The sequence below is a fragment of the Homo sapiens genome, chromosome 10 (genome assembly GCF_000001405.40).
Source record: "Homo sapiens chromosome 10, GRCh38.p14 Primary Assembly".
In the NCBI taxonomy this organism is placed as follows: Eukaryota; Metazoa; Chordata; class Mammalia; order Primates; family Hominidae; genus Homo; species Homo sapiens.
The window spans coordinates 73,904,628-73,927,618 of NC_000010.11; the positions used below are offsets into that span (position 1 = coordinate 73,904,628).

Genomic DNA, 22,991 nt, shown 5'->3' on the forward strand with positions numbered 1-22,991 from the left:
ATCAGTCTGGTTCAAGGTGGGCAGGCAGGAATCAAGGCAGACATGACTTGGATGGACAGCTGGAGCTATCCTGGGATGTCACCATGGGTTAGAAGTAGGAAGATTCCCAGTTAGAAGGACAAGCACCTCCACTAGCCTGATTGAATTTGATACTGCCTCAGAGATAGTTCTCCAAACCTGGAGTCAACCAGGTCTGCATGTGAGTCTTGGTGCTTCCATTTCCCTGGAGTTTAACCTTGTGGAAATTGCTTAAGCCCAGTGAACCTTCATTTTCTCATCCATAAAATGGTGACATTAATAGTACCTTCCTTAAAGGTGTTAAGATGTAAAAAGAAAATGAATGTAATGCAAATAAAAGTTGGTTATTATTATTATTATCTATCTTTAACAAGGGATAAATTGTAAGATTGTATTGTCCCCTTGGAGACAACAGACTTCTTTTTTATTTTTATTTTTTGAGACAGAGTCTCATTGCCCAGGCTGGAGTGCAGTGGTGTGATCAAGGTTCATCGCCACCTCAACCTCCCAAGCTCAAGCAATCCTCCCACCTCAGCCTCCTGAGTAGTTGGGACCACAGGTGTGTGCCACCACTTCTGGCTAATTTTTAAAAAATATATTATAGAGACGAGGTCTCACTATGTTGCCCAAACTGGTCTGATACTCCTGGGCTCAAGCCATCCTCCTGCCTCGGCCTCCCAAAATGTTGGGATTACAGGTGTGAGCCACTGCATCTGGCACTCTTCCTTTTCTTTAGTCCCTGCCACATTCCCCACCATCACTGTCTCCAGAGTAAACAAAGAACGCCCATGTAGATTACCCACATACTGTTCCTCCCATTCACTCTGCACACACACCTGCCTCCAGGGATCCCTGCTCCCTCTTCCCACAGATATTCATACATTTAGTCCTCTAGCAGCCTTCTCAAAGGAGACTGTCCCCTCTGCAGGACGTGGCTGCCTCCAAACCCTCCTCAGAGGCTCAGCAAACCAGAGAAAAGAAGCACCTTCTGCAGGAGGGTGGGCAAGATAGATTGAGGATGGGGATGGATGGTGATCGGGAAAAGGGAGGAGCTGAGGATTCAGAATAAGAAAGGAGAGGGTGGAAATGTGTCATGAAGTTCCTCAAAATCTGTGAATCCTGAATCTCATCATTTTTAGTGAATGAACTCAGATGATTCACTTCCCTTCATTAGCCTCTATTTTCCTCTCTGTGTAATGGAAGGGGAAGTGCTTGCTTTGAAGACAGAGATGCATATAGAATCCAGCACATAGAATCCAGCTTGGGAGAGCCATGAGCATGTGGAATTAGACATCATATGGGTTATGAATATTATGTTAGTTTTCTTCTGAATAGGATTTTTTCAGTATTTCAGCTTCTGGCTGAACATATATCCCTAAATATTATTGATTTTTTGGCAGTCTTCAGCAAGCCCACCATTTGCTGGTTAGTCATCCCAGTCCTTTGTTCCTGGGCATGCCCCTTTGCTTCTAGTTAAGCATCTATTGCCACCCAACATGGTAACCAGAACTCTGAGCAGAAGTTTTAGGACCAGGGCCTAACTTTGGTTCCTGGTGAGGGGCTCAGAATCCAGAAGGTCTGGTAAGCCATGACCAACACTACTTTTTTTTTTTTTTTAATGGAGTCTCGCTTTGTCACCCAGGCTGGAGTGCAGTGGCCCGATCTCGGCTCACTGCACCCTCTGCCTCCCGGGTTCAAGCGAGTCTTCTGCCTCAGCCTCCTGAGGAGCTGGGATTACAGGCGTGTGACACCACACTGGCTAATGTTTGTATTTTTAGTAGAGACGGGGTTTCACCATGTTGGCCAGGCCAGTCTCGAACTCCTGACCTCAAGTGATCCAGCCGCCTCAGCATCCCAAAGTGCTGGGATTACAGGCGTGAGCCACCACACCTGGCAAACTACTTTAAAGCAGTAAGTTCCTGACTTAGGTAATAACTGGGTTTGGGTCAGGGAGGGACAAAGAAAAATTTGGCCAAGACTCATGACATACATGCAGAAGTCTGAGCTGAGTGGCCTGGGTAGGCCTAGGAAGCAGGCCAGAGCTGGTAAGGCAGAAAAAGAGTGAGGAAGGTTAGGGGGGTCATAGCCTGATGCTGGAGGGACCAGCTTTAGTTCCCCTTTCATGGTGCTACTGACGACAGTGTAACCTCAGGGTTCAGCCCCTGGGCTCTTTGCTTTCCATGAGTAAGGAAGCAAGAATGCTGCCTCCCTCCACCCCTTCCACAGCCTGCTGGGGGCCTGCAGCTCCAGCAATCCCCCTATCATGTTACATGCCCAGAAGCGGCTTTCAGTGCCTGCCGTTGCCAGCTGGCTTCACCCTTCACACTAGACACTCAGGAAGAAGGGGTCCTTAGACTCAAGGAAGCTATGTGACCAGCATTCCGTACCTCCTTCCCAGAACTGTTGAAGAGTCCGTCTGCCCCATGTGTAGGAGGGAAAGAGGCGCTTCAGGCCACACAGGGACACAGACAAGAGGGAGAGGGAGTAAGCATAGGCAATGTGGGAGTGAACAGCACATGCAGCTGTGGGTCCAGCTGCCTGATTGCTGGGAACTGCTGGCCAAGGATACAGCATCCCCATTGGCCTGGAATCCTGGAATGGACTCCAGCCTGACTTGGTCTTCTGAGTCAATCCAGCCACAGTCAAAAAGGGGAGGCAGGCACTCGATGTAGGAATTACAGTTTACACAGTTCCTCTTCCTATCTCTAGCATCCAGAACTGCGCCCAGCACACAGTAGGTCCATGATAAATATGGAATGAATGAATACTTTTACATGCAAGCATGATCTCAGCCAATCTGCAGAGTGAGGCACAGGCTGGACAGGTGGATCACCTGAGGTCAGGGGTTCAAGACCAGCCTGGACAACATGGTGAAACCCCATCTCTACTAAAAATATAAAATTAGACCGGCATGGTGGCAGACACCTGTAATCCCAGCTACTTGGGAGGCTGAGGCAGGAGAATTGCTTGAACCCAGAAGGTGGAGGGTGCAGAGAGCCAAGATTGTACCATTGCACTCCAGCCTGGGTGACAAGAGCGAGACTCCACGTCAAAAAAAAAAAAAAAAAAAAAAAGAGTTAAGCAACTTGCCTAAGATCATTCAACTTTGATGTAGCAGACTGAAGGCTAGGCACTGTGGTCTTTCTATAGTGCCATGCTGAGCATTCTTCATATACAACACAGAATTGCATCCTATGACTCCATGGGAACTTCCTTTTGGGTCAGAAAATAGTCCTTAGGGGCTGAGTTTCCTGGACTTAGTCTCAGGGCCAGGTTTGGATACCCTGCCCCTCCCTGCGCATCTGGCATCTGCCTTCCCTTTTATGAGAATCTCCTGGAAAGGGCTTCTCCAGCAGTCTGTGTTGCCACATCTGACTCAGGAGCTCTGTACCCTTGAGACACAGAGGCAGGGGTTGGTGGCTTCACCCTAGGAGTCAGGAAAAGAATGAAATCATACACATTCAGTTCCTTATTCTCTTACCCTCAACAGAAATTTCAGACAGCCTAGACCACAGAGACAGTTCTTGGAATTCAGGCAAACAACTAATTTGTATTACAGCGGGTGCAACTTAAGAGCTCAGAGTCCATAGTCCGAGCAGTCTTTCTGGAAGGAGGTCTCCAAAGTCAGGAGGAGGGCTCCCCTGAGCTGGATCATCTTAGCTCACTGGCCCCTCCCTTCACAGCGTTCTGTCTTTTATGGAGACAGTGAGGTATAGCGCATAGGAACAAGGATCAGAAGACGCTGGGTTTTAGTGCTGGCTTTGCTGCTCATCAACTGTGTATCTTCTCTCCACTTCATTTTCCATATCTGCAAAATGGGAACAACAATACCAGTCTATATCATAAGGCAGTTATGAGTTTAAAGAGAAATGGTTTACATTAATGTGCCTTGAAGCACAAGACAGAAATACAATATAAAAAATATGGCTGGGGCCGGGCACGGTGGCTCACGCCTGTAATCCCAGCACTTTGGGAGGCCGAGGTGGGCGGATCACAAGGTCAGGAGATCGAGACCATCCTGGCTAACACGGTGAAACCCCATCTCTACTAAAAATACAAAAAATTAGCCGGGTGTGGTGGCAGGCGCCTGTAGTCCCAGCTAGTCGGTAGGCTGAGGCAGGAGAATGGCGTGAACCCGGGAGGCGGAGCTTGCAGTGAGCCGAGATTGTGCCACTGCACTCCAGCCTGGGTGACAGACCGAGACTCCGTCTCAAAAAAAAAAAAAAAAAAATATGGCTGGGCGTGGTGGCTCATGCCTGTAATCCCAGCACTTTGGAAGGATGAGGTGGGAGGACCCCTTGAACCCAGAAGCCCAGCAAAACCTTGTCTTTAAAAAAAAAAAAGAACTGTGCACAAAGATTTCAGAGAGTGCTAAAGATTAGCGCATGGATAAGGAAGTTCTGTGAAGAGTTGAAGTGCTAGGTGAAGAGGTGGCACGGGGGAGGAGGGGGCGGAAGGGGAGAAAGGGTGTCACGCTTCATAACGGTCTCCAAACCTCTTTGTCCAGGAGGAAATGAAGTCATCTGCTCTCAGCAATCAGCATGACAGCCTCCAGCCAAGTAATCTGGAGTCATGAGAGCTGCTAGGGGAGCAACATGAATCATGACGGTCCCTGGGAATTTCCTGATAACTAACCTGGGAGTTTCGGGGTAAGTCCTCAGGCTGCAGCATCTCTGTTTATGTTCTGGTCACGTTTATTTACAATTAATGGGTTCTCAAATCCAAACAAAACTGACCACAGTCTTCTAGAGGAAGTAGCAAGGTTGGCTCTGAAGCCTATAGCATCGCTGACTCAGTCTGTCCCCTGGAAGGCTGGCAGCTCAGCAAGCACAGAAGTCTCTCCAGAAGACAGTGGGTCACCTGCCTCCCAAAAGCTGAAAGGCTAACTTGTACTTTCCCCAGCAGGCAGCTGGCACCCTGAGCCCTCGGCTGGGGCAGAGCAAAGGAGCCTTCCTCCTTCCTACCTTCCTGGCACTCTCCCTGCCTTCCTTCTGTCACTCTCAGGTGGACCCAGACCCAAGGTCCAGATTTGCAAGGCAGGAAAATGCTGCAGGCCTAGGCTGGGAAAGGGCCCAAAGCCGCTAGTGGATTGCTGGGACTCAGCCTCCTCCTTCCCACTAAGAGAGCGAGTCCTACTGGGTTCAAAATGACCCCAAGCCCTGGTTCCTGACACTAGGGGAAAGAGATGGGGGTGACAGAATCACAGAATCCCTGCTATGTTCCTCCAAGTGTGCCCAGAGATGCGTGTGTGTGTGTGTGTGTATACACAAATGTCTGCTTATCCTCAGGCAGGAAGGGTGGATGCAGTCATTTACACATGGTCTGTTTTTCTGGAGGACAATTTTATTTGATAAACAATTGTTTCTATCTGAATAGAATAAACAAGGCTCTATGATGAAGTAAAACACTAAATACACATGCATTAAAAAATGCATAATTATCTTTTTGGAATGGGCTATACAGAGATGTGCTTTTTAAAATGTTAAGAGTGTAAAAGGACAAACAGTGAAAAATAAATCTTCCTCTTATTTTGTCCTCCAGTCTCCCAATTCCTCTACTCAGAGGTGAGAACAGAACTTCCACACCCTCCAGAACCTCCACAGTTAGAACTGTCTACATGTTTCCATTGTCTTTACTTTTATTCTTGCCTGCACAAATAAATGAATTGCTCATTATGGAAACTTCCCAAAAGACCCGTTAACACTTCAATAGGAAGCACCAACAGTTTATGCCCTAGGACTTTGTTCCCACAATCCTGTAACATCATATCACGACACCTAACCCAATCCTTATCAAGCCCTGTCAAAAACGGACTTTAAACCAAGCTGCAAATTTTCAGTAATCTGGCCTTGCCTTTCCCCCTCTGATAGCACCATCAAACAAACCCCCTTACTGCCGAAAGCAATAAGCCCGGCTTTGTTCCATCCACTGGTTGTGTTGGTGATATCTGGGGACTGCCACTGAACAGACGCACAGAGGGAGCCCCTACAGGCAGGGGTTTTTCTGTCTGTGCTTCTGGGAGAGTATGTCTCGTACATTTGTCGCGTTGATGAAGACTTCACAGCTCCATCAGCTGCGGGCAAGGGGGTCTGAGGCAGTCTTAGGCAAGTTGGGGCCCAGCGGGGAGAAGTTGCAGAAGAACTGATTAGAGGACCCCAGGAGGCTTCAGAGCTGGGCGAGGTAGAGAGTCTCCTGTGCGCCTTCTCTCCTCTCTGCAATTCGGGGACTCCTTGCACTGGGGCAGGCCCCCGGCCAGGTGCATGGGAGGAAGCACGGAGAATTTACAAGCCTCTCGATTCCTCAGTCCAGACGCTGTTGGGTCCCCTCCGCTGGAGATCGCGCTTCCCCCAAATCTTTGTGAGCGTTGCGGAAGCACGCGGGGTCCGGGTCGCTGAGCGCTGCAAGACAGGGGAGGGAGCCGGGCGGGAGAGGGAGGGGCGGCGCCGGGGCGGGCCCTGATATAGAGCAGGCGCCGCGGGTCGCAGCACAGTGCGGAGACCGCAGCCCCGGAGCCCGGGCCAGGGTCCACCTGTCCCCGCAGCGCCGGCTCGCGCCCTCCTGCCGCAGCCACCGGTGAGTGCCGCGGTCCTGAGATCCCCGGGCCGGATGCGCGGCGGCCCCAGCTCCCGAGCGTCTGCCTCCCCCGCCCTGGGCTGCCCGGGCTCCCTGGGCTCCCCGGCGGCTGCACGGAGTCAAGGCGCCCCGTCCCGGGCGTCCCCCGCGGGTGCCGATCCAGGCTGCCCGGAGTCCGGAGCCCAGAGAGGAGAGAGACAGCTGGGGAGCCTGGTCACCGCGGGCATCTCCCCTGCGCTGCAGTCGCCCGCCTGGCCTGCCTTCCCGTTCCTCCGCCTCTTGCCCTGACTTCTCCTTCCTTTGCAGAGCCGCCGTCTAGCGCCCCGACCTCGCCACCATGAGAGCCCTGCTGGCGCGCCTGCTTCTCTGCGTCCTGGTCGTGAGCGACTCCAAAGTGAGTGCGCTCTTGCTTTGACTGATGCTGCCCAAGGACCTCTGATCAGCACCAGGGGAGAGGAGGGGCTGCTCAGGGAGCTGGGGTCCTCCGGATTCCATCCACAGCAGGGCCAGACTCTCCCCAGGAAATGGGACAGGGTGGCAGCGGAGGCTTGAGAACCACGGGGGTTGGCACTGGCTGGCAAGGGAGGAAGAGGCCGCCGGGACTGCCCCAGCCTGCGGGCATCTGGTAGATGAAGCTTGCTTGGGTCAATCCATTTCTCCTGGCTGGAAACCCATGGTCTTCCATTTGAGAACTAGATACGAACAGGGTGAGGCGAGAGGGAGAGGGAAGAGTGGGTTTTGGGATTGGGGCCAGTTTACCCTCACCCTGGAGTCCCTGGAGCATGGGACCTTTGATGAAGCCTCCTCCCGAATCTCTTCCAGGGCAGCAATGAACTTCATCAAGTTCCATGTGAGTATCCACCCCTACAACAGTTGGCTGCACAGACAAGTTGGGAAGGCTTCAGGGGACATCCCCTCCCTGCCCTCTGCTGCAGGGCTGCGCCACCCCTTACCACTTCCACTCCCCCTCGCTTACCCCACCTTTGTTCTCTCCAGCGAACTGTGACTGTCTAAATGGAGGAACATGTGTGTCCAACAAGTACTTCTCCAACATTCACTGGTGCAACTGCCCAAAGAAATTCGGAGGGCAGCACTGTGAAATAGGTATGGGGATCTCCACTGCAACTGGGAGAGAAATTTGGGGACAGGGAGGGATGGGTGGGAGGCAAGAGCAGGCAGGAGTTAGGAGCTGGAGGTAGGGTGGGTGACATCTTCATCCCTATGTGACAAGCATAAACACACACACACGCTCACGAAACAGTGGCCACACAAATGTGAGGTGGGGTTGGAAGGAGACCCTGTCCAGTCTTCTGGCAGGTCTGAAACGACATCTTTAAAATGTCCGTTGGCAGCCGGGCATGGTGGCTCACGCTTGTAATCCCAGCATTTTGAGAGGTCAAGGTGAGTGGATCATTTGAGGTCAGGAGTTCAAGACCAGCCTGGACAACATGGTGTAACCCTGCCTCTACTAAAAATGCAAAAATCAGCCTGGCATGGTAGTGGATGCCTGTAGTCCCAGCTACTTGGGAGGCTGAGGCAGGAGAATTGCTTGAACCTGGGAGGCAGAGATCTCAGTGAGCTGAGATCACACCACTGCACTCCAACTGGGCGACAGAGCAAGACTCCATCTCAAAAAAAAAAAATAAAAGTTAGTTGGAATGTTCTTCTCTTTCTCATATTCTCTCATCCTCCTGTCCCCTTGTAGATAAGTCAAAAACCTGCTATGAGGGGAATGGTCACTTTTACCGAGGAAAGGCCAGCACTGACACCATGGGCCGGCCCTGCCTGCCCTGGAACTCTGCCACTGTCCTTCAGCAAACGTACCATGCCCACAGATCTGATGCTCTTCAGCTGGGCCTGGGGAAACATAATTACTGCAGGTGAGGTGGGGGCAACAAGGACCAAAAGCCCTCCCTACAGCTTCCCAGAAACCTTGTTACCATCCCCTTCTCCCAGAGGGCTGGCCATAGCACAAGAGAAGTGCGGCCTCTGGTTGAGTCTTCCCTGAGGGGAGGAGGCAGGGAAGGCCCTCTGGGTTGGAATGACATCCCCTATCTTTCTGTGTTGCCAGGAACCCAGACAACCGGAGGCGACCCTGGTGCTATGTGCAGGTGGGCCTAAAGCTGCTTGTCCAAGAGTGCATGGTGCATGACTGCGCAGATGGTGAGCATCACTGACCTGCTGATGACAGTGGGGTGGAAGGGGACAAACTTACATGTCCCCTTATTCCATCACAGGAGGACTGAGGAGGTGGGGGGTGCCCGAGAGGGATGCTTTCTCCTACCTGCCTCCCTAAGACATCCCTCTGTTTGTCCTCCAGGAAAAAAGCCCTCCTCTCCTCCAGAAGAATTAAAATTTCAGTGTGGCCAAAAGACTCTGAGGCCCCGCTTTAAGATTATTGGGGGAGAATTCACCACCATCGAGAACCAGCCCTGGTTTGCGGCCATCTACAGGAGGCACCGGGGGGGCTCTGTCACCTACGTGTGTGGAGGCAGCCTCATCAGCCCTTGCTGGGTGATCAGCGCCACACACTGCTTCATGTACGGCCCTGGGTTTCTCCTCTTCGACTCTTCTGCCCCACCCCAAGCACATCCCTTTCTCCTTCCCAGCAAAGTGTTCCGCCTCATTTCTCCCTCATCTGCCCCTGTCCATGCAGCCCATGGCCTTGGGGACAAGTCGTGCTTTGAGGCCTCTAGGGAGGGAAGGAAGAAGTGGCAGATTTCATGGGACTAAGCTGTTTGATGGGTATCTTCTCCCACAGTGATTACCCAAAGAAGGAGGACTACATCGTCTACCTGGGTCGCTCAAGGCTTAACTCCAACACGCAAGGGGAGATGAAGTTTGAGGTGGAAAACCTCATCCTACACAAGGACTACAGCGCTGACACGCTTGCTCACCACAACGACATTGGTGAGGGGGAACCCCGCGACTACTGTGGCCATAATGGCTTGGGGAGAGTGGGACCCAGGGAGAGACTGGAGCTGAGGTTGAAGCTGCCCGGTGGGGCAGGGGTGGGGCGAGGGACCTTGAAGCCTCGATATACATGACAAAGGGAGTGGCAGGGAAGAGTTCCATGAAGTCTGAGGGGCCTGGTGCTCCTCTGGAGAGACCCTGAATTTCCCCAACAAGTAGCCTCTTGCGAGTGGAAACAGCCCTGTGGGTATATGGCTTGGGCTGGGAAGGCCCTGTTTATATGAATTAGAAAAAGACACACCTTCCTTTGTGGGATGCAGCCTCTGTCTGTGCTAGGATATAGAACTTGGAGAATGGAGCCTTGGGATGGATTCCAGCCTAACTACCTCAGCTGGGAGTTTTTGCAGAAACGACCTGTACAGCTGTATGCAGTGGCTCTGGCCATCCAAGCCTTTTTCAACACCTGGAACAAAGCCCTTGGGGCATGGGGCAGGGGAGGTTTCCAGGTGATAAGCGACCAGCAGACCTCCCTGGATGACTGACCTAGGGATAGGCATAGCTACTTCCTCGGCACTTGGAGGGGACAGATGGGGACCGCCTAACCAGTAGTGATCTTTCTCCTCTGACCCTCTGTCCTCCCCCAGCCTTGCTGAAGATCCGTTCCAAGGAGGGCAGGTGTGCGCAGCCATCCCGGACTATACAGACCATCTGCCTGCCCTCGATGTATAACGATCCCCAGTTTGGCACAAGCTGTGAGATCACTGGCTTTGGAAAAGAGAATTCTAGTAAGTGACAATTGCGACTGACTTAGAAGGTCCTGAGGAGTGTTTTGACCTGAAAATGAGCCCAGCGTGATCAAGGGAAGACTGCAGAGTTAGAGGTGGGAGCACTGAGGCGGTGGCAGATGGGTCCAGGGATGGATGAAGAGTGTTGTTTAGGGAGCGATGGGCTGCAAAGGTAAATAGATGGTAGGGGCTATAGGTGGAGTAAAGGCTCAGATTTGCATGGAAGAGAATAAGGGCCTTCCCTGGTAGAGATACTTTATGGTTCCCCTCTCTGGCAGACTCCCAGTGGACAGATAAATCTTGATGCAAACGCCTCCCTGTTTTCTCCACCTAGCCGACTATCTCTATCCGGAGCAGCTGAAAATGACTGTTGTGAAGCTGATTTCCCACCGGGAGTGTCAGCAGCCCCACTACTACGGCTCTGAAGTCACCACCAAAATGCTGTGTGCTGCTGACCCACAGTGGAAAACAGATTCCTGCCAGGTGAGTGTTCCAAGCATCTCTCTCCACCTCTTCCATATCTCCCCAGAGCTCCTGGGCTTGTTCCAGCCAGCTTAAGGGTGTCTCTCTCTAGCCAAAGCCCTAAGTAGCCAGAATCAGGAGCTCAGGTCTTTGAGGGTTTAAACCAGTCCTTATGTGTTTGCCAGACATTACCAAAAAAATCCCAGCTCTGCGCTAGTCACTTCAGACTGGGGGCACGAGATCCTAGAAAGAGGAAACAGTAAAAGACAATGTAACTCAGTGCCCAGGGTGTGTTGTGAACTATAAATGATCAGGTGTTCAGGAGAGGGAGGTGAGTGCCAACCTGAGGGTCAGGGAGGGGAGGCTTTAAAGGAAATGTGACTTGATAGGCATTTGAAGAGGCAGAGGGAAGAAAGGAAGGTGTTTCAGTTGAAAGATACAAAACTGAGAAGGAGGCTGGCATATTCCGGGTGGGGAGGAGAACTAGGGTCTGGGAGTGTGGATGGAATAGTGGCAGATGACAGGGCTTTTAAAGCCAAGCAGGGGATTTTAAACTTGATGTGGTAGAAAATGGGGCTGCGTCAGGCACAGTGGCTCATGCCTGTAATCCCAGCACTTTGGGAGGCCGAGGTGGATGGATCACTTGAGGCCAGGAGTTTGAGACCGGCCTGGCCAACATGGTGAAACCCTGTGTCTACTAAAAATGCAAAAAAAAATTAGCCAGGTGTGGTGGTGCCTGCCTGTAATCCCAGCTAATCAGGAGGCTGAGACATGGGAATCGCTTGAGCACAGGAGGCAAGTTTGCAGTGAGCTGAGATCACGTCATTGCACGCCAGCCTGGGCGACAGAGCGAGATTCTGTCCTCCCCCCGAAAAAAAGAAAGAAAATGGGAAGTCGCTAAGGACTTTGACTGGGAAACTCTTCCCTCTCTCTGGTATGGTTGGGTGATGGGATCAGAAATCCCCTCCTCACTTCTCTAGGGCTCATCTTTTGTATCTTTGGCGTCACAGGGAGACTCAGGGGGACCCCTCGTCTGTTCCCTCCAAGGCCGCATGACTTTGACTGGAATTGTGAGCTGGGGCCGTGGATGTGCCCTGAAGGACAAGCCAGGCGTCTACACGAGAGTCTCACACTTCTTACCCTGGATCCGCAGTCACACCAAGGAAGAGAATGGCCTGGCCCTCTGAGGGTCCCCAGGGAGGAAACGGGCACCACCCGCTTTCTTGCTGGTTGTCATTTTTGCAGTAGAGTCATCTCCATCAGCTGTAAGAAGAGACTGGGAAGATAGGCTCTGCACAGATGGATTTGCCTGTGCCACCCACCAGGGCGAACGACAATAGCTTTACCCTCAGGCATAGGCCTGGGTGCTGGCTGCCCAGACCCCTCTGGCCAGGATGGAGGGGTGGTCCTGACTCAACATGTTACTGACCAGCAACTTGTCTTTTTCTGGACTGAAGCCTGCAGGAGTTAAAAAGGGCAGGGCATCTCCTGTGCATGGGTGAAGGGAGAGCCAGCTCCCCCGACGGTGGGCATTTGTGAGGCCCATGGTTGAGAAATGAATAATTTCCCAATTAGGAAGTGTAACAGCTGAGGTCTCTTGAGGGAGCTTAGCCAATGTGGGAGCAGCGGTTTGGGGAGCAGAGACACTAACGACTTCAGGGCAGGGCTCTGATATTCCATGAATGTATCAGGAAATATATATGTGTGTGTATGTTTGCACACTTGTGTGTGGGCTGTGAGTGTAAGTGTGAGTAAGAGCTGGTGTCTGATTGTTAAGTCTAAATATTTCCTTAAACTGTGTGGACTGTGATGCCACACAGAGTGGTCTTTCTGGAGAGGTTATAGGTCACTCCTGGGGCCTCTTGGGTCCCCCACGTGACAGTGCCTGGGAATGTATTATTCTGCAGCATGACCTGTGACCAGCACTGTCTCAGTTTCACTTTCACATAGATGTCCCTTTCTTGGCCAGTTATCCCTTCCTTTTAGCCTAGTTCATCCAATCCTCACTGGGTGGGGTGAGGACCACTCCTGTACACTGAATATTTATATTTCACTATTTTTATTTATATTTTTGTAATTTTAAATAAAAGTGATCAATAAAATGTGATTTTTCTGATGACAAATCTCCCTGGTGCTTGTATGGGAAGGAGTTGGAGTACATAAAAAGGAGAAAATAACAAAGGTGGACTGCACCCTAGAGTTTCTTATGGGACTGCATCTCTGGACTTAATGGAGCTTTGGGAGGTAGAGGTTAGGAGAGCTGTAGGGCAGGGCCACCACAGCACTTAATGTATACAAAGTTTCCCCAAACCACAATCCCATGGCTGTGTAAGTAGTGTACAGGCTTAGTGTCAGCTCCCAATTGCCTCCTTAACCTGATGCCTTTGTGCAGTGCACATCTTGTACAGCTGTACATGGTGGTCTTCTTTAGGGTTAACTCCACAACAGTCTCTTCACTCTGCCCCCAACAATCCTTGAGCTGACCTCAACCAAGAAGAACACCTGTGGCCAGGTGTAGTGGCTCATGCCTGTAATCCTAACATTTTGAGAGGCTGAGGTGGGAGAATCGCTTGAGCCCAGGAGTTTGAGACCAGCCTGGGAAACTTAGTGAGACCCTGTCTCTGCAAAAAATAAAAAAATTAGCCAGGTGTGGTAGCACATGTCTGTAGTCCTAGCTACTTGGGAGGCTGAGGCAGGAGGATCCTAAGCCAAGGAGTTCAAGTTTACAGTCAGCTGATTGTGCCACTGCACTCCAGCCTAGGTGACAGAGCAAGACCCTGTCTCAAAAAAAAAAAAAAAAAAAAAAGAAGAAGAAGACCTGTAAGTGAAAATTGCTGGCCAGGCTCAGTGGCTCACGCCTGTAATCCAGCACTTTGGGAAGCCGAGGTGTGTGGATCACCTGAGGTCAGGAGTTTGAGACCAGCCTGACCAACATAGTGAAACCCCATCTCTACTAAAAATACAAAAAAATTAGCCGGGTGTGGGGGTGGGTGCCTGTAATCCCAGCTACTCGGGAGGCTGAGGCAGGAGAATCATTTGAACCCGGGAGGCAGAGGTTGCAGTGAGCCGAGATCGCACCACTGCACTCCAGCCTGGGCGACAGAGGGAAGACTTCGCCTCAAATAAATAAAAAAATAAATAAAGAAAGAAAATTGCTTATCCAGAATGCCAGCTTGACTCTGTGGCATTCAGGAAACAAAAAACATAATTTCCCATCATCTGTGTGTGGGACTGATGCTGGAATTTTCTCAGTGTGTTAACAGAGCTTGTGACCAGCCATTGCTATGCCTATGATTAGGGGGCCCAGAATCTCAAAGCTGGATGATGTCCTAATGGGGGTGACTATATATTTTGAACAAAACATCAAGTTCTGAAAAGCTGGGGTGTAGAAGGCAGGTTGGGAGATAATTGGGTATCAAAAATTAGAATTGCCAAGCTGTGTTAATGGGTTGGGGCAGTGTTTCTTAATCGAGTCATCTGAGGACCTTTTAAAATATGCACACCTACACTCCACCTGTAGAGATTGTGATTCAGGTCAGGGCTGGCTCCAGGTCTCGTGGTTTTAGAAAAGCTCCCTCGGTGTTACTAACATGCACCACTGATTGACAGCCTTTGGGGACAATTGGTCAGAATATATGAAGTGCCCAGAAAAATTCAAGATATGGTCAGCATGAGTTCTCTGCATGAACAGCCAGTTTTCTGAGTGGGGTTTGGTGGCACAAGGTCTCCTGGATTTCCTGGTTAAAGGCTTTCTGGACCGTGCTTCCCTAGAGGGCAAGAACTCCAAGTATTTGGCTTTTTCTTTTTTTTGAGGCAGGGTCTCACTCTGTCACCCAGGCTGGAGTGCAGTGGCGCAATCTTAGCTCACTGCAGCTTCTGCCTCCCAGGTTCAAGCGATTCTCCTGCCTCAGCCTCCCAAGTAGCTGGGATTACAAGCATGCACTACCACTACCCGGCTCATTTTTGTGTTTTTGGTAGAGATGGGGTTTCACCCTGTTGGCCAGGCTGGTCTCGAACTCCCGACCTCAGGTGATCTGCCTCCCTTGGTCTCCCAAAGTACTGGGATTAGTATTCGGCTTTTGATCCCCATCATCTAGTGTGCTGTTTTACACAGGTTGATGCAGTGGTTTAGAGCATGGATTTTCGAGTCCGGTGGCCTGAACTAGAATCTAACACCAGCTGTGTGACTTGAGAAAGGTTATTAGCCTCTCTGCACCTCAGTTTCCTCATCTGTACAAAAGAGATGATACAATCTACCTCCCTGGGTTGTTATAAGGATTCATGAAGGCCAGACACAGTGGCTCAGCCTGTAATCCCAGTGCTTCGGGAGGCCAAGGTGGGCGGATCACCTGAGGCCAGGAATTCGAGACCAGCCTGACCAACAAGGTGAAACCCTGTCTCCACTAAAAAAAAAAAAATACAAAAATTAGCCAGGCGTGGTGGCATATGCCTGTAATCCCAGCTACTCGGGAGTCTGAGGCACGAGAATTGCTTGAAACTGGGAGGTGGAATTTGCAGTGAGCCGAGATCACACCACTGCACTCTATCCTGGGCAACAGAGAGCAAGACTTCGTCTCAACAACAACAACAACAACAGAAAGGATTCATGAGTTCATAAGTCCTTTAGCATAATACTGGCACCTAATAAAAGCATAAAAACGGTGGTTATTATTACAAAGCTAAGTAAATTATTGTAGCATCAGATCAGATGGGAACCCTCTGCCCTCTCCCACCTCAGAACTGCACTATTTTGCGGGAGTGGAAACCTGCTAGGAAGCTGCCCAAGCCGAGTGGCTGTTCAGTTTCTGCCTTCCCCTCAGGGGCCAAGAAAGATCTTGTTCAAACTTGAGCAGCTCCAGCATCAGGGCTCAGAGACACTGAAAACAGGAAGTATGAGCCCTACTGGCAGGGTTAAGCCAGGAGGCTGTTAACAATTTTCAGGCCATTTCCCAGCCAACACCCTGACCCCCAGCCAGCTGCTGTCTCTTTGCCTAATATTAGATCTCACCCCAGGCTAGCAGGCATCAGCCGCTTCTCCAGCAACCAGTTTCACAGTTCCAGATTCTCACTCCAGAGACTGCCTCCTATTAGTGCCTCCACGATCAAGCACTGTGCTTTTTCTGTTTTTGCTTTTGTTTTTTTTTTTTTTGAGATGGAGTATCGCTCTGTCGCCCAGGCTGGAGTGCAGTGGTGTGATCTCGGCTCACTGCAACCTCCGCCTCCCAGGTTCAAGCGATTCTCCTGCCTCAGCCTCCCGAGTAGCTGGGATTACAGGCGCCCACCACCACGCCCGGCTACTTTTTGTATTGTTTTTAGTAGAGATGGGGTTTCACCATGTTGGCCAGGATGGTCTTGATTTCCTGACTTCGTGATCCGCCTGCCTCGGCCTCCCAGAATGTTGGGATTACAGGCGTGAGCCACCGTGCCCGGCCTTTTTTTTTTTTGTTTGAGATGGAGTCTTGCTCTGTCCCCCAGTTTGGAGTGTAGTGGCTCAATCTCAGCTCACTGTGCAACCTTTGCCTCCCGGGTTCAAGCAGTTCTCCTGCCTCAGCCTCCCGAGTAGCTGAGATTACAGGCGCCCGCCACTACGCCTGGCTAATTTTTTGTACTTTCAATAGAGATGGGGTTTCACCATGTTGGCCGGGTTGGTCTCAAACTCCTAACCTCAAGTGATCAACCCGCCTCAGCCTCCCAAAGTGCTGGGATTACAAGCATGAGCCACCATGCCAGACCAACACTGTGCTAAATTATTCATGTGTTGTCTGAGTTAATCCTCCCAAGAATCCTATGAGGAAGGTAGTATCACTAGCCCCATTTAACAGTAGAGAAAATGGAGGCACAGACAGATTGAGTGACTTGCACGAGGCAATGCAGCTCCAAATGCAAAGAGTCAGGGTTCGAACCCAGGCAGCCATCTCCAGAGTCCTCATGCGCGGTACTAGGATTTATCACCTCTCAGGAGAGTCCAACTAGGGCAAAAGGAGAGCAGCCCCCCTTTCAAGCTTTCTACTTTATGGTTGCTGGGTTTCTAGGCAACAGCTATCAGAATTTTTTTTTTTTTTTTGAGACGGAGTCTCACTCTGTTGCCAGGCTGGAGTGCAGTGGCGTAATCCTGGCTCACTGCAACCTCCGCCTCCCGGGTTCAAGTGATCCTCCTGCCTCAGCCTCCTGAGTAGCTGAGATTACAGGCACATGCCACCACGCCCGGCTAATTTTTGTATTTTTAGTAGAGACGGGGTTTCACCATGTTGGCCAGGATGGTCTCGGTCTCTTGACCTTGTGATCCACCCGCTTTGGGCTCCCAAAGTGCTGGGATTACAGTTGTAAGCCACCCGCCCAGCCCAGAATTTTTTTTTTTTTTTCCATACACAGTCTTGCTCTGTCGCCCAGGTTGGAGTGCAGTGGCCCATCTCGGCTCACTGCAACCTCTGCTTCCCAGGTTCAAGCTATTATCCTGCCTCAGCCTCCTGAGTAGCTGGGATTACAGGCGTGCACCACCACACCCGGCTAATTTTTGTATTTTTAGTAGAGACGGGGGTTTCACCATGTTGGCCAGGCTGGTCTCAAACTCCTGACCTCGTGGTTCACCCACCTCGGCCTCCCAAAGTGCTGGGATTACAGGCGTGAGCCACTGCGCCCAGCCTCATCTATCAGAATTTTAATCCTCTCCTAGATAACAATTCTTTCCTCCTAGAAGATTCCCAGGCCAGATGAGGAGACCACACTCAGCCATTGGTTTCAAAGTAAAACTTCACTGTTCTCACAGTAACCTCAGCCTTTCTGCTGCAATCTGGTTTCATTGAAGTGGTTTCCGTTTTCACCAGAACCCCTCTTTCTGAAGTATTCTCAGCCCATTATATTAACAGCACTCAGCCTGCTTTCCACGTATGCCCTATCTTTCCCAAGCTGACCACAGCAGCACCCCTGCCTATACCCCTCCATACTCACTCCCATTGGGTCCACCTTCCTTCCAAGAAGGAAACATTTAAGCCCTCCCTTTGAATTAGATGAAGTAAGAGGAGTTGCTGAGGTGTTTTTTAAAAATCAATTCTGGGCTAGGTGCAATGGCTCACACCTGTAATCCTAATACTGTGGGAGGCCTAGACGGGAGGATTGCTTGAGCCCAGGAGCTCGAGGCTGCAGTGAGCTATGATTGCACTACTGCACTCCAGCCTGGGTGACAGAGCAAGACCCTGTCTCTAAAGAAAAAAAATCAGTTTTATTGAGATATAATTCATATATCATACAACTTACCCATTTATTCTTTCTCTTTTCTAGAGACAGGGTCTTGCTCTGTCACCCAGGCTGATCTCAAACTCCTAGGCCAGAGTGATCCTCCCACCTCAGCCTCCTGAGTGGCTGGAATTACAGGCTCATACCACCACGTCTGGCACCATTTGAAGTGTACAATGCAATGGTTTTTAGTAGATTCACAGAATTGTGAGACATCACAATCAATTTTAGAACACTTCATCACCTCACAAAGAAATCCTGTACCCACTCACAATCACTCCGTTTTTCTCCCCAACCCCCTCAGCCCTAGGCAATCACTAATTTACTACTTTCTGTCCTCTCTGTGGGTTTGCCAATTCTGGGCATTTCATATCAATAGAATCCTATAATATGTGGTTCTTTGTGACTGGCCTCTTTCACTCTTAACATGATGTTTTCAAGTTTTATCCATGGCATAGCATGTGTCAGTGAGGTTGCTGAGTTTTAATAACAAATTGAGGGAAAAGATGGTCTAGGCGAGGTGCAGTGGCTCACATCTGTAAATTCCAGCACTTTGGGATACCAAAGTGGGAGGATCCCTTGAGTTCAGGAGTTCCAGAACAGCCTGGGCAACATAAAGAGGCCCCATCTCAAAAAAAAAAAAAAAAAAAAAAGGATGTTCTAGGTCTCTTTTTGAGGTTTCAGTCACATTGAGATTCATTCAACAATCTTTGTCATTTCTTTCTTTCTTTCTTTTTTTTTTTGAGATGGAATCTCGCTCTGTCGCCCAGGCTGGAGTGCAGTGGCGCAATCTCGGCTTACTGCAATCTCTGCCTCCCAGGTTCAAGCAATTCTCTGCCTCAGCCTCCCGAGTAGCTGGGATTACAGGTGCCTGCCACCATGCCCCACTAATTTTTTTCTATTTTTAGTAGAGACGAGGTTTCACCGTCTTGGCCAGGCCGATCTTAAATTCCTGACCTCATGATCCACCTGCTTCGGCCTCCCAAAGTGCTGGGATTACAGGCATGAGCCACTGCGCCCGGCCCTTTGTCATTTTTTTAAAGTACCCATACACAGGACATTATTTTAGATACAAATGAGGCAGTCCTAGTCCTCAAGGAGCTCACCACTTTGCAAAGTGCTATACTAAGTCTGCATAAAATGCATGGAAAAATAATGAAGAAGCAATTGATTCTGCCTGGTGAAGTCAATGACGACTTTACAGAAGAGGTGATATTTTACCTGGACATTCAAATACACACAGAAATTTGCCAAACTAGAAGAAAGGCATTGTAGGCGTAGGGAAGTTCATGGAGGCATGAAAAGGTGAGGTGTTCTAAGGAAATGAGGAATAGTCCATTGTGGTGGAGAACTCTGGGGGGCAATGAGTAGGTGGAGATGGTGGGGAAGGATCTGGTGGGATCCAGCTGGTGATGACCCTGCTGCAGGACTGATTCTCAGCAGCAGGCACTGGTTCTGCTCAGTGACTAAACAGATGCTGTCCTGAGATCCTCTCCGCGTGGCCCCTGCCATCAGCCTCTCTCCACTTCTTCATGATCCAGCAACCACAGGGTTAATGCCTGTGGCACAGCAAAGGCCTCTGAGATCCTCCCTCCTCCAGCTGGCTCAGGCGAAAGTGTCCTACTGGGGTATCTTGATAGTTAAATATTTTGACTATCACCTCTTGCCCTCAGGCACTATTTTTCAAAATCCAGAAAGTGAATTAAGTTCTAGAAGCCATAAAAAAATTGGCTTTTTAAACTAAACATTTTTATTCAATTGTAAAAGTAGCTACAAATGTAAAATACTTTCATAGCATTCCACAGCCATTGTTAACATCTCTGGCTTCTTGGGTTCCTTTGTAATCTCAACCTCTTTTACTCGGTCTTAAATGTTAGGATTCCTAAAGCCTGATCTTAAACTTCCTATTCCCACCCTAAGCTTTCTCCCTTAGGATCTTGTTAGCACCCAGGCTTAAATGACCACCAATAAACAGATGGCTTACAAAGCTGATCTCTAGCCAGACCTCTCTTCTGCACTCCAGACTCTTATTTTCTGTTGTCTACTTGACACCCCTTTTGGTTGTCACTCACAGGGGACCTCAAAGTCAACCTGCCCCAAACTGGCCGAGTCTTCATGCCCCAGTGTGGAGACATCTCCCATCACTTTCTGTCTCAGATGATAGCACCACATCCATTCAATTATGAAAGCCAGAAACCTGGGGCCATCCTGATGCTTCTCTCCTGGTTTCCTTCATCCCCTCCATCACCAAATCCTGGGGATTTGACTGATATCTCTTGAAGTCGTCCATTTCTCTCCCTCCCCACCATCACCATTAGTTGAGCCCAGTCTACCCTACAATAGCTTCCCAGTTTGGTGCCACTGCACTACAGCCTGGGCGACAAGAGCAAAACTCAGTCTCAGAAAAAAAAAAAAAAAAAGGACCAAAGGACCACTAAAAGAAGAGCACTCTTTTTTTCTTTTTTGAAGCAGGGTCTTGCTCTGTTGCCCAGGCTGGAGTGCAGTGGCACAATCCTAGTTCACTGCAGCCTTGACCTCCTGGGTTTAAATGATCCTCCTGCCTCAGCCTTCCAAGTAACTGGAACCACAGGTATGTGCCACCACACCTGGCTAATTTTTTTTTTTAATTCTTTTGTAGAGACAGGGTCTTACCATGTTGCCCAGGCTGGCTGGTCTCAAACTCCTGGGCTCAAGTGATCCTCCTGCCTTGGCCTTCCAGTGTGCTGAGATTATAGGCATAAGCCACCATGGCTGGCCTAAGAAGGGCATTCTTAGCACAGGTTGGTGAGGATTAGGGGCTAGAAGAGAACCCAAAAGTTTCATTTATTCACTGATTCATCCTTCACTCATTAATATAGCAAACACTTATTGGGAGTCGGCCATGGGCCTGGCATTGTGCTGTGTATTGGGTATAAAGATGAGAGCCCCAGTCTCAACCCCAGTGAGATAAGGGTCAAGTTGGGGAAGAGACACATTGCAAATGAATAGAGTACAGGGTGAGGAAGATTTACAAGATGGGCAGGGATGGCTAAGACAGCAAGGTGGAGGAGGTGACCTTGGGGAGAATCTTGAAGGGCAAATACAGGAGGAAGAAATGCTTCTCTGAGCAGAGGAAACAGCACATGCAAACGTGAAGAGGAGGGAGGAAGCCCAGGGCACCGGAGGGACTGCAGGTGGTTCCAGCCGCTGGGGTAGGGGCTGGCATTGAAGTGATTTGACTGGAGGGATTGGCAAGAGCTGGAACCTACGGGCCTAGAGGACTCTGCCTGACACATGAAGGACTTTGAACTTTCTTGTGATGTGGAATTGTTAAAGATTTTGGAGCAGTGTGAAAAATTGATCAAAGGAAGATTCTTGGGCCTGGGTGAGACTACCAGCAGGGAAAACCAGTTTGGAGACTATTGCAATCAGCGAGGTAGGAGCTGAAAAGTGTCTGAGCCAGGGCTATGGCAATGGGATGTGAGCAGAGGATACAAATATGGGAGATTGGTGGGGATAGAATAGACTTGGTGCCTGGCTGGGGGCGGGAAGAAAAGGAGATATCACTTGGTTTAGTCTCCTGCCTTCGGGTAGATAAGGCAACAGCATAATTTTACAGGTGAGAAACTGAGGCTGTAAGTGATTTATAGTAGGTAGCTGACCAAGCTAGAGTTACCACTTGTAGAACCTTGGGGATCAATACCTCAGGGCAGCTAGTTCTGCTAATTACCTCCTTAACTCTGTCCACCCAACTGGAGAACTTCCCTATCACCATAATCACCACGCAGTGCTGATATCCAAGCCTGCATAGGGTGATGCTTGTTTCTGAAATACCCCAGGCCTGTTCAGCCCTGTGACTGTGGTTCTAACACCTGGAATTTCTCCTGAACCTGCTGGTCATGTGATGCACTGGCAATGAGTTAGTGGATAGGTCGGTGGCATGTATAAGGAAATCAGCAGATGCTGGATCTAGCCGTCTGCCTTCTGACTTCCTAAAAATGTGACTTCTGGTGTTTCAACAGATCACATGCCCTTAGCACATCACCAAGTTCTGGCACGAGGTTGTGGAGATGGAGCAGATTTTGTAAGGACTCCAGCTGGTGGGCTTCCTAGCCCAGTCTCTCCTTCCCTCTTTTTGGTGGTTCTCCAGTTGCCCTTAATTTCTCATTCTCTTTTCATATAAAGGGAAGAAAATGACTTTCTCCCTCACCTGGCTCTTCCCATCCTCACCCTACTGTCTTTTTAGCTCTCTCTCCAGAGTATTGTACAAGCTGGGGTTAATGCCATTGGAGGGAGGACTCTCTAGCTCCAGCTTGGTTTTTCCATTTAATTGTCTTGGTGAAGCCAGCCATGGTGGTGCATGCCTGTAATCCCACCTACTTGGGAGGCTCAGGGGTGAGGATTGCTAGAGGCCAGGAGTTCAAGACCAGCCTGGGCAACATAGTGAGACCTTATTTCTAAATGAATGAATGAATGAACGAATGTAACAAGTGTCAGCCCCTTTTCCTTTTCTTTTCTTTTTTGAGATGGAGTCTTGCTGTGTCACCCAGGCTAGAGTGCAGTGGCATGATCTCGGCTCACCGCAACCTCCGCCTCCCGGGTTCAAGCGATTCTTCTGCCTCAGCCTCCCGAGTAGCTGGGACTACAGGCGCACGCCACCACGCCCAGACAATTTTTGTATTTTTAGTAGAGACGGGGTTTCACCATATTGGCCAGGCTGGTCTCAAACTCCTGATCTCGTGTTCTGCCCGCCTCGGCCTCCCAAAGTGCTGGGATTACAGGCATAAGCCACCGTGCCCGGCCCCCCAGCCTCAAACTTTCTCTGATTTCTCACTATACCTACACACTCCTCACCACCACAGGCTGAGAGATTCTGCCAGGGAAGCTCTAAGCTCTTGAGTCCCATTGGAACTGGACGTATCTGTGAAGTTAACAGCTATTGATCAGGTTACTTCTATTTCCCACTGGAATTTGGCCACCATCTTTGGCTGTAGAGAGTTACTAGAATTTTGCCAGTTTCCCTAGTGG

The 22,991-nt window shown here is 50.0% G+C and overlaps 1 protein-coding gene and 1 long non-coding RNA gene across 13 annotated transcripts, besides 10 other annotated features; one reads left to right on the plus strand and one right to left on the minus strand.

Moving 5' to 3' along the window:
* Window positions 3,981-5,180: an enhancer, noted in NCBI's record as "CDK7 strongly-dependent group 2 enhancer chr10:75668366-75669565 (GRCh37/hg19 assembly coordinates)". NCBI's record gives its function as "activates an origin of replication core promoter dependent on BRD2, BRD4, P300/CBP, MED14 and CDK7 cofactors, with strong dependence on CDK7, by STARR-seq in HCT116 cells {active_cell/tissue: HCT116}" and the evidence as "EXISTENCE:reporter gene assay evidence [ECO:0000049][PMID:35650434]".
* Window positions 3,981-5,486: a biological region, named in NCBI's record as "CDK7 strongly-dependent group 2 enhancer GRCh37_chr10:75668366-75669565".
* Window positions 4,205-12,867, plus strand: PLAU (plasminogen activator, urokinase). Of its 11 annotated transcripts, NM_001441154.1 has the most exons (12): window positions 4,205-4,440; window positions 4,526-4,667; window positions 6,898-6,985; window positions 7,414-7,441; window positions 7,588-7,695; window positions 8,297-8,471; window positions 8,663-8,754; window positions 8,912-9,131; window positions 9,353-9,501; window positions 10,149-10,289; window positions 10,624-10,772; window positions 11,762-12,867. In NM_001441154.1, exons 3-12 carry the CDS (start codon window positions 6,929-6,931, stop codon window positions 11,936-11,938), a joined length of 1,296 nt encoding a protein of 431 aa, NP_001428083.1. In that variant the 5' UTR covers window positions 4,205-4,440; window positions 4,526-4,667; window positions 6,898-6,928; the 3' UTR covers window positions 11,939-12,867. The 11 variants fall into 11 exon arrangements, with proteins under 11 accessions (NP_001428083.1, NP_001428086.1, NP_001428084.1 ...); NM_001441157.1 differs by lacking the exons at window positions 4,205-4,440; window positions 4,526-4,667 and adding an exon at window positions 5,983-6,375; NM_001441155.1 differs by lacking the exons at window positions 4,205-4,440; window positions 4,526-4,667 and adding an exon at window positions 5,983-6,198.
* Window positions 4,536-5,486: an enhancer, noted in NCBI's record as "H3K27ac-H3K4me1 hESC enhancer chr10:75668921-75669871 (GRCh37/hg19 assembly coordinates)". NCBI's record gives its function as "activates a minimal SCP1, AML or CMV promoter by ChIP-STARR-seq in naive H9 embryonic stem cells {active_cell/tissue: H9 hESC(naive)}" and the evidence as "EXISTENCE:reporter gene assay evidence [ECO:0000049][PMID:30033119]".
* Window positions 4,736-4,785: an enhancer, noted in NCBI's record as "active region_3582". NCBI's record gives its function as "activates an Ori minimal core promoter by ATAC-STARR-seq in GM12878 lymphoblastoid cells {active_cell/tissue: GM12878}" and the evidence as "EXISTENCE:reporter gene assay evidence [ECO:0000049][PMID:35858748]".
* C10orf55 (chromosome 10 putative open reading frame 55) lies at window positions 5,342-18,150 on the minus strand. 2 transcript variants are annotated; one of them, NR_160937.1, is made up of 6 exons: window positions 18,006-18,150; window positions 11,892-12,014; window positions 10,944-10,994; window positions 8,338-8,448; window positions 7,573-7,657; window positions 5,342-7,468 (listed from the first exon to the last, which is right to left on the minus strand). It is a non-coding gene; the product is annotated as a chromosome 10 putative open reading frame 55 (long non-coding RNA). The 2 variants fall into 2 exon arrangements; NR_160938.1 differs by lacking the exon at window positions 10,944-10,994 and having other exon boundaries at window positions 8,416-8,448.
* Window positions 6,452-7,051: a silencer, noted in NCBI's record as "silent region_2495". NCBI's record gives its function as "represses an Ori minimal core promoter by ATAC-STARR-seq in GM12878 lymphoblastoid cells {active_cell/tissue: GM12878}" and the evidence as "EXISTENCE:reporter gene assay evidence [ECO:0000049][PMID:35858748]".
* Window positions 8,404-9,603: an enhancer, noted in NCBI's record as "BRD4-independent group 4 enhancer chr10:75672789-75673988 (GRCh37/hg19 assembly coordinates)". NCBI's record gives its function as "activates an origin of replication core promoter dependent on BRD2, P300/CBP, MED14 and CDK7 cofactors, and independent of BRD4, by STARR-seq in HCT116 cells {active_cell/tissue: HCT116}" and the evidence as "EXISTENCE:reporter gene assay evidence [ECO:0000049][PMID:35650434]".
* Window positions 8,404-9,767: a biological region, named in NCBI's record as "BRD4-independent group 4 enhancer GRCh37_chr10:75672789-75673988".
* Window positions 9,214-9,767: an enhancer, noted in NCBI's record as "H3K4me1 hESC enhancer chr10:75673599-75674152 (GRCh37/hg19 assembly coordinates)". NCBI's record gives its function as "activates a minimal SCP1, AML or CMV promoter by ChIP-STARR-seq in naive H9 embryonic stem cells {active_cell/tissue: H9 hESC(naive)}" and the evidence as "EXISTENCE:reporter gene assay evidence [ECO:0000049][PMID:30033119]".
* Window positions 15,545-16,193: an enhancer, noted in NCBI's record as "H3K4me1 hESC enhancer chr10:75679930-75680578 (GRCh37/hg19 assembly coordinates)". NCBI's record gives its function as "activates a minimal SCP1, AML or CMV promoter by ChIP-STARR-seq in primed H9 embryonic stem cells {active_cell/tissue: H9 hESC(primed)}" and the evidence as "EXISTENCE:reporter gene assay evidence [ECO:0000049][PMID:30033119]".
* Window positions 16,194-16,840: an enhancer, noted in NCBI's record as "H3K4me1 hESC enhancer chr10:75680579-75681225 (GRCh37/hg19 assembly coordinates)". NCBI's record gives its function as "activates a minimal SCP1, AML or CMV promoter by ChIP-STARR-seq in primed H9 embryonic stem cells {active_cell/tissue: H9 hESC(primed)}" and the evidence as "EXISTENCE:reporter gene assay evidence [ECO:0000049][PMID:30033119]".
* Window positions 18,151-22,991: the final 4,841 nt, after the last annotated feature.

What these genes read in the sequence shown, in the direction of transcription:
- PLAU (NM_001441154.1), top strand. Translation starts at nt 6,929, where the DNA reads ATGAGAGCCCTGCTGGCGCGCCTGCTTCTCTGCGTCCTGGTCGTGAGC. An exon ending in AGGGCAGCACTGTGAAATAG is followed by an intron (nt 7,696 to 8,296) that starts GTATGGGGATCT and finishes GTCCCCTTGTAG; the next exon opens with ATAAGTCAAAAACCTGCTAT. An exon ending in AGCGCCACACACTGCTTCAT is followed by an intron (nt 9,132 to 9,352) that starts GTACGGCCCTGG and finishes CTTCTCCCACAG; the next exon opens with TGATTACCCAAAGAAGGAGG.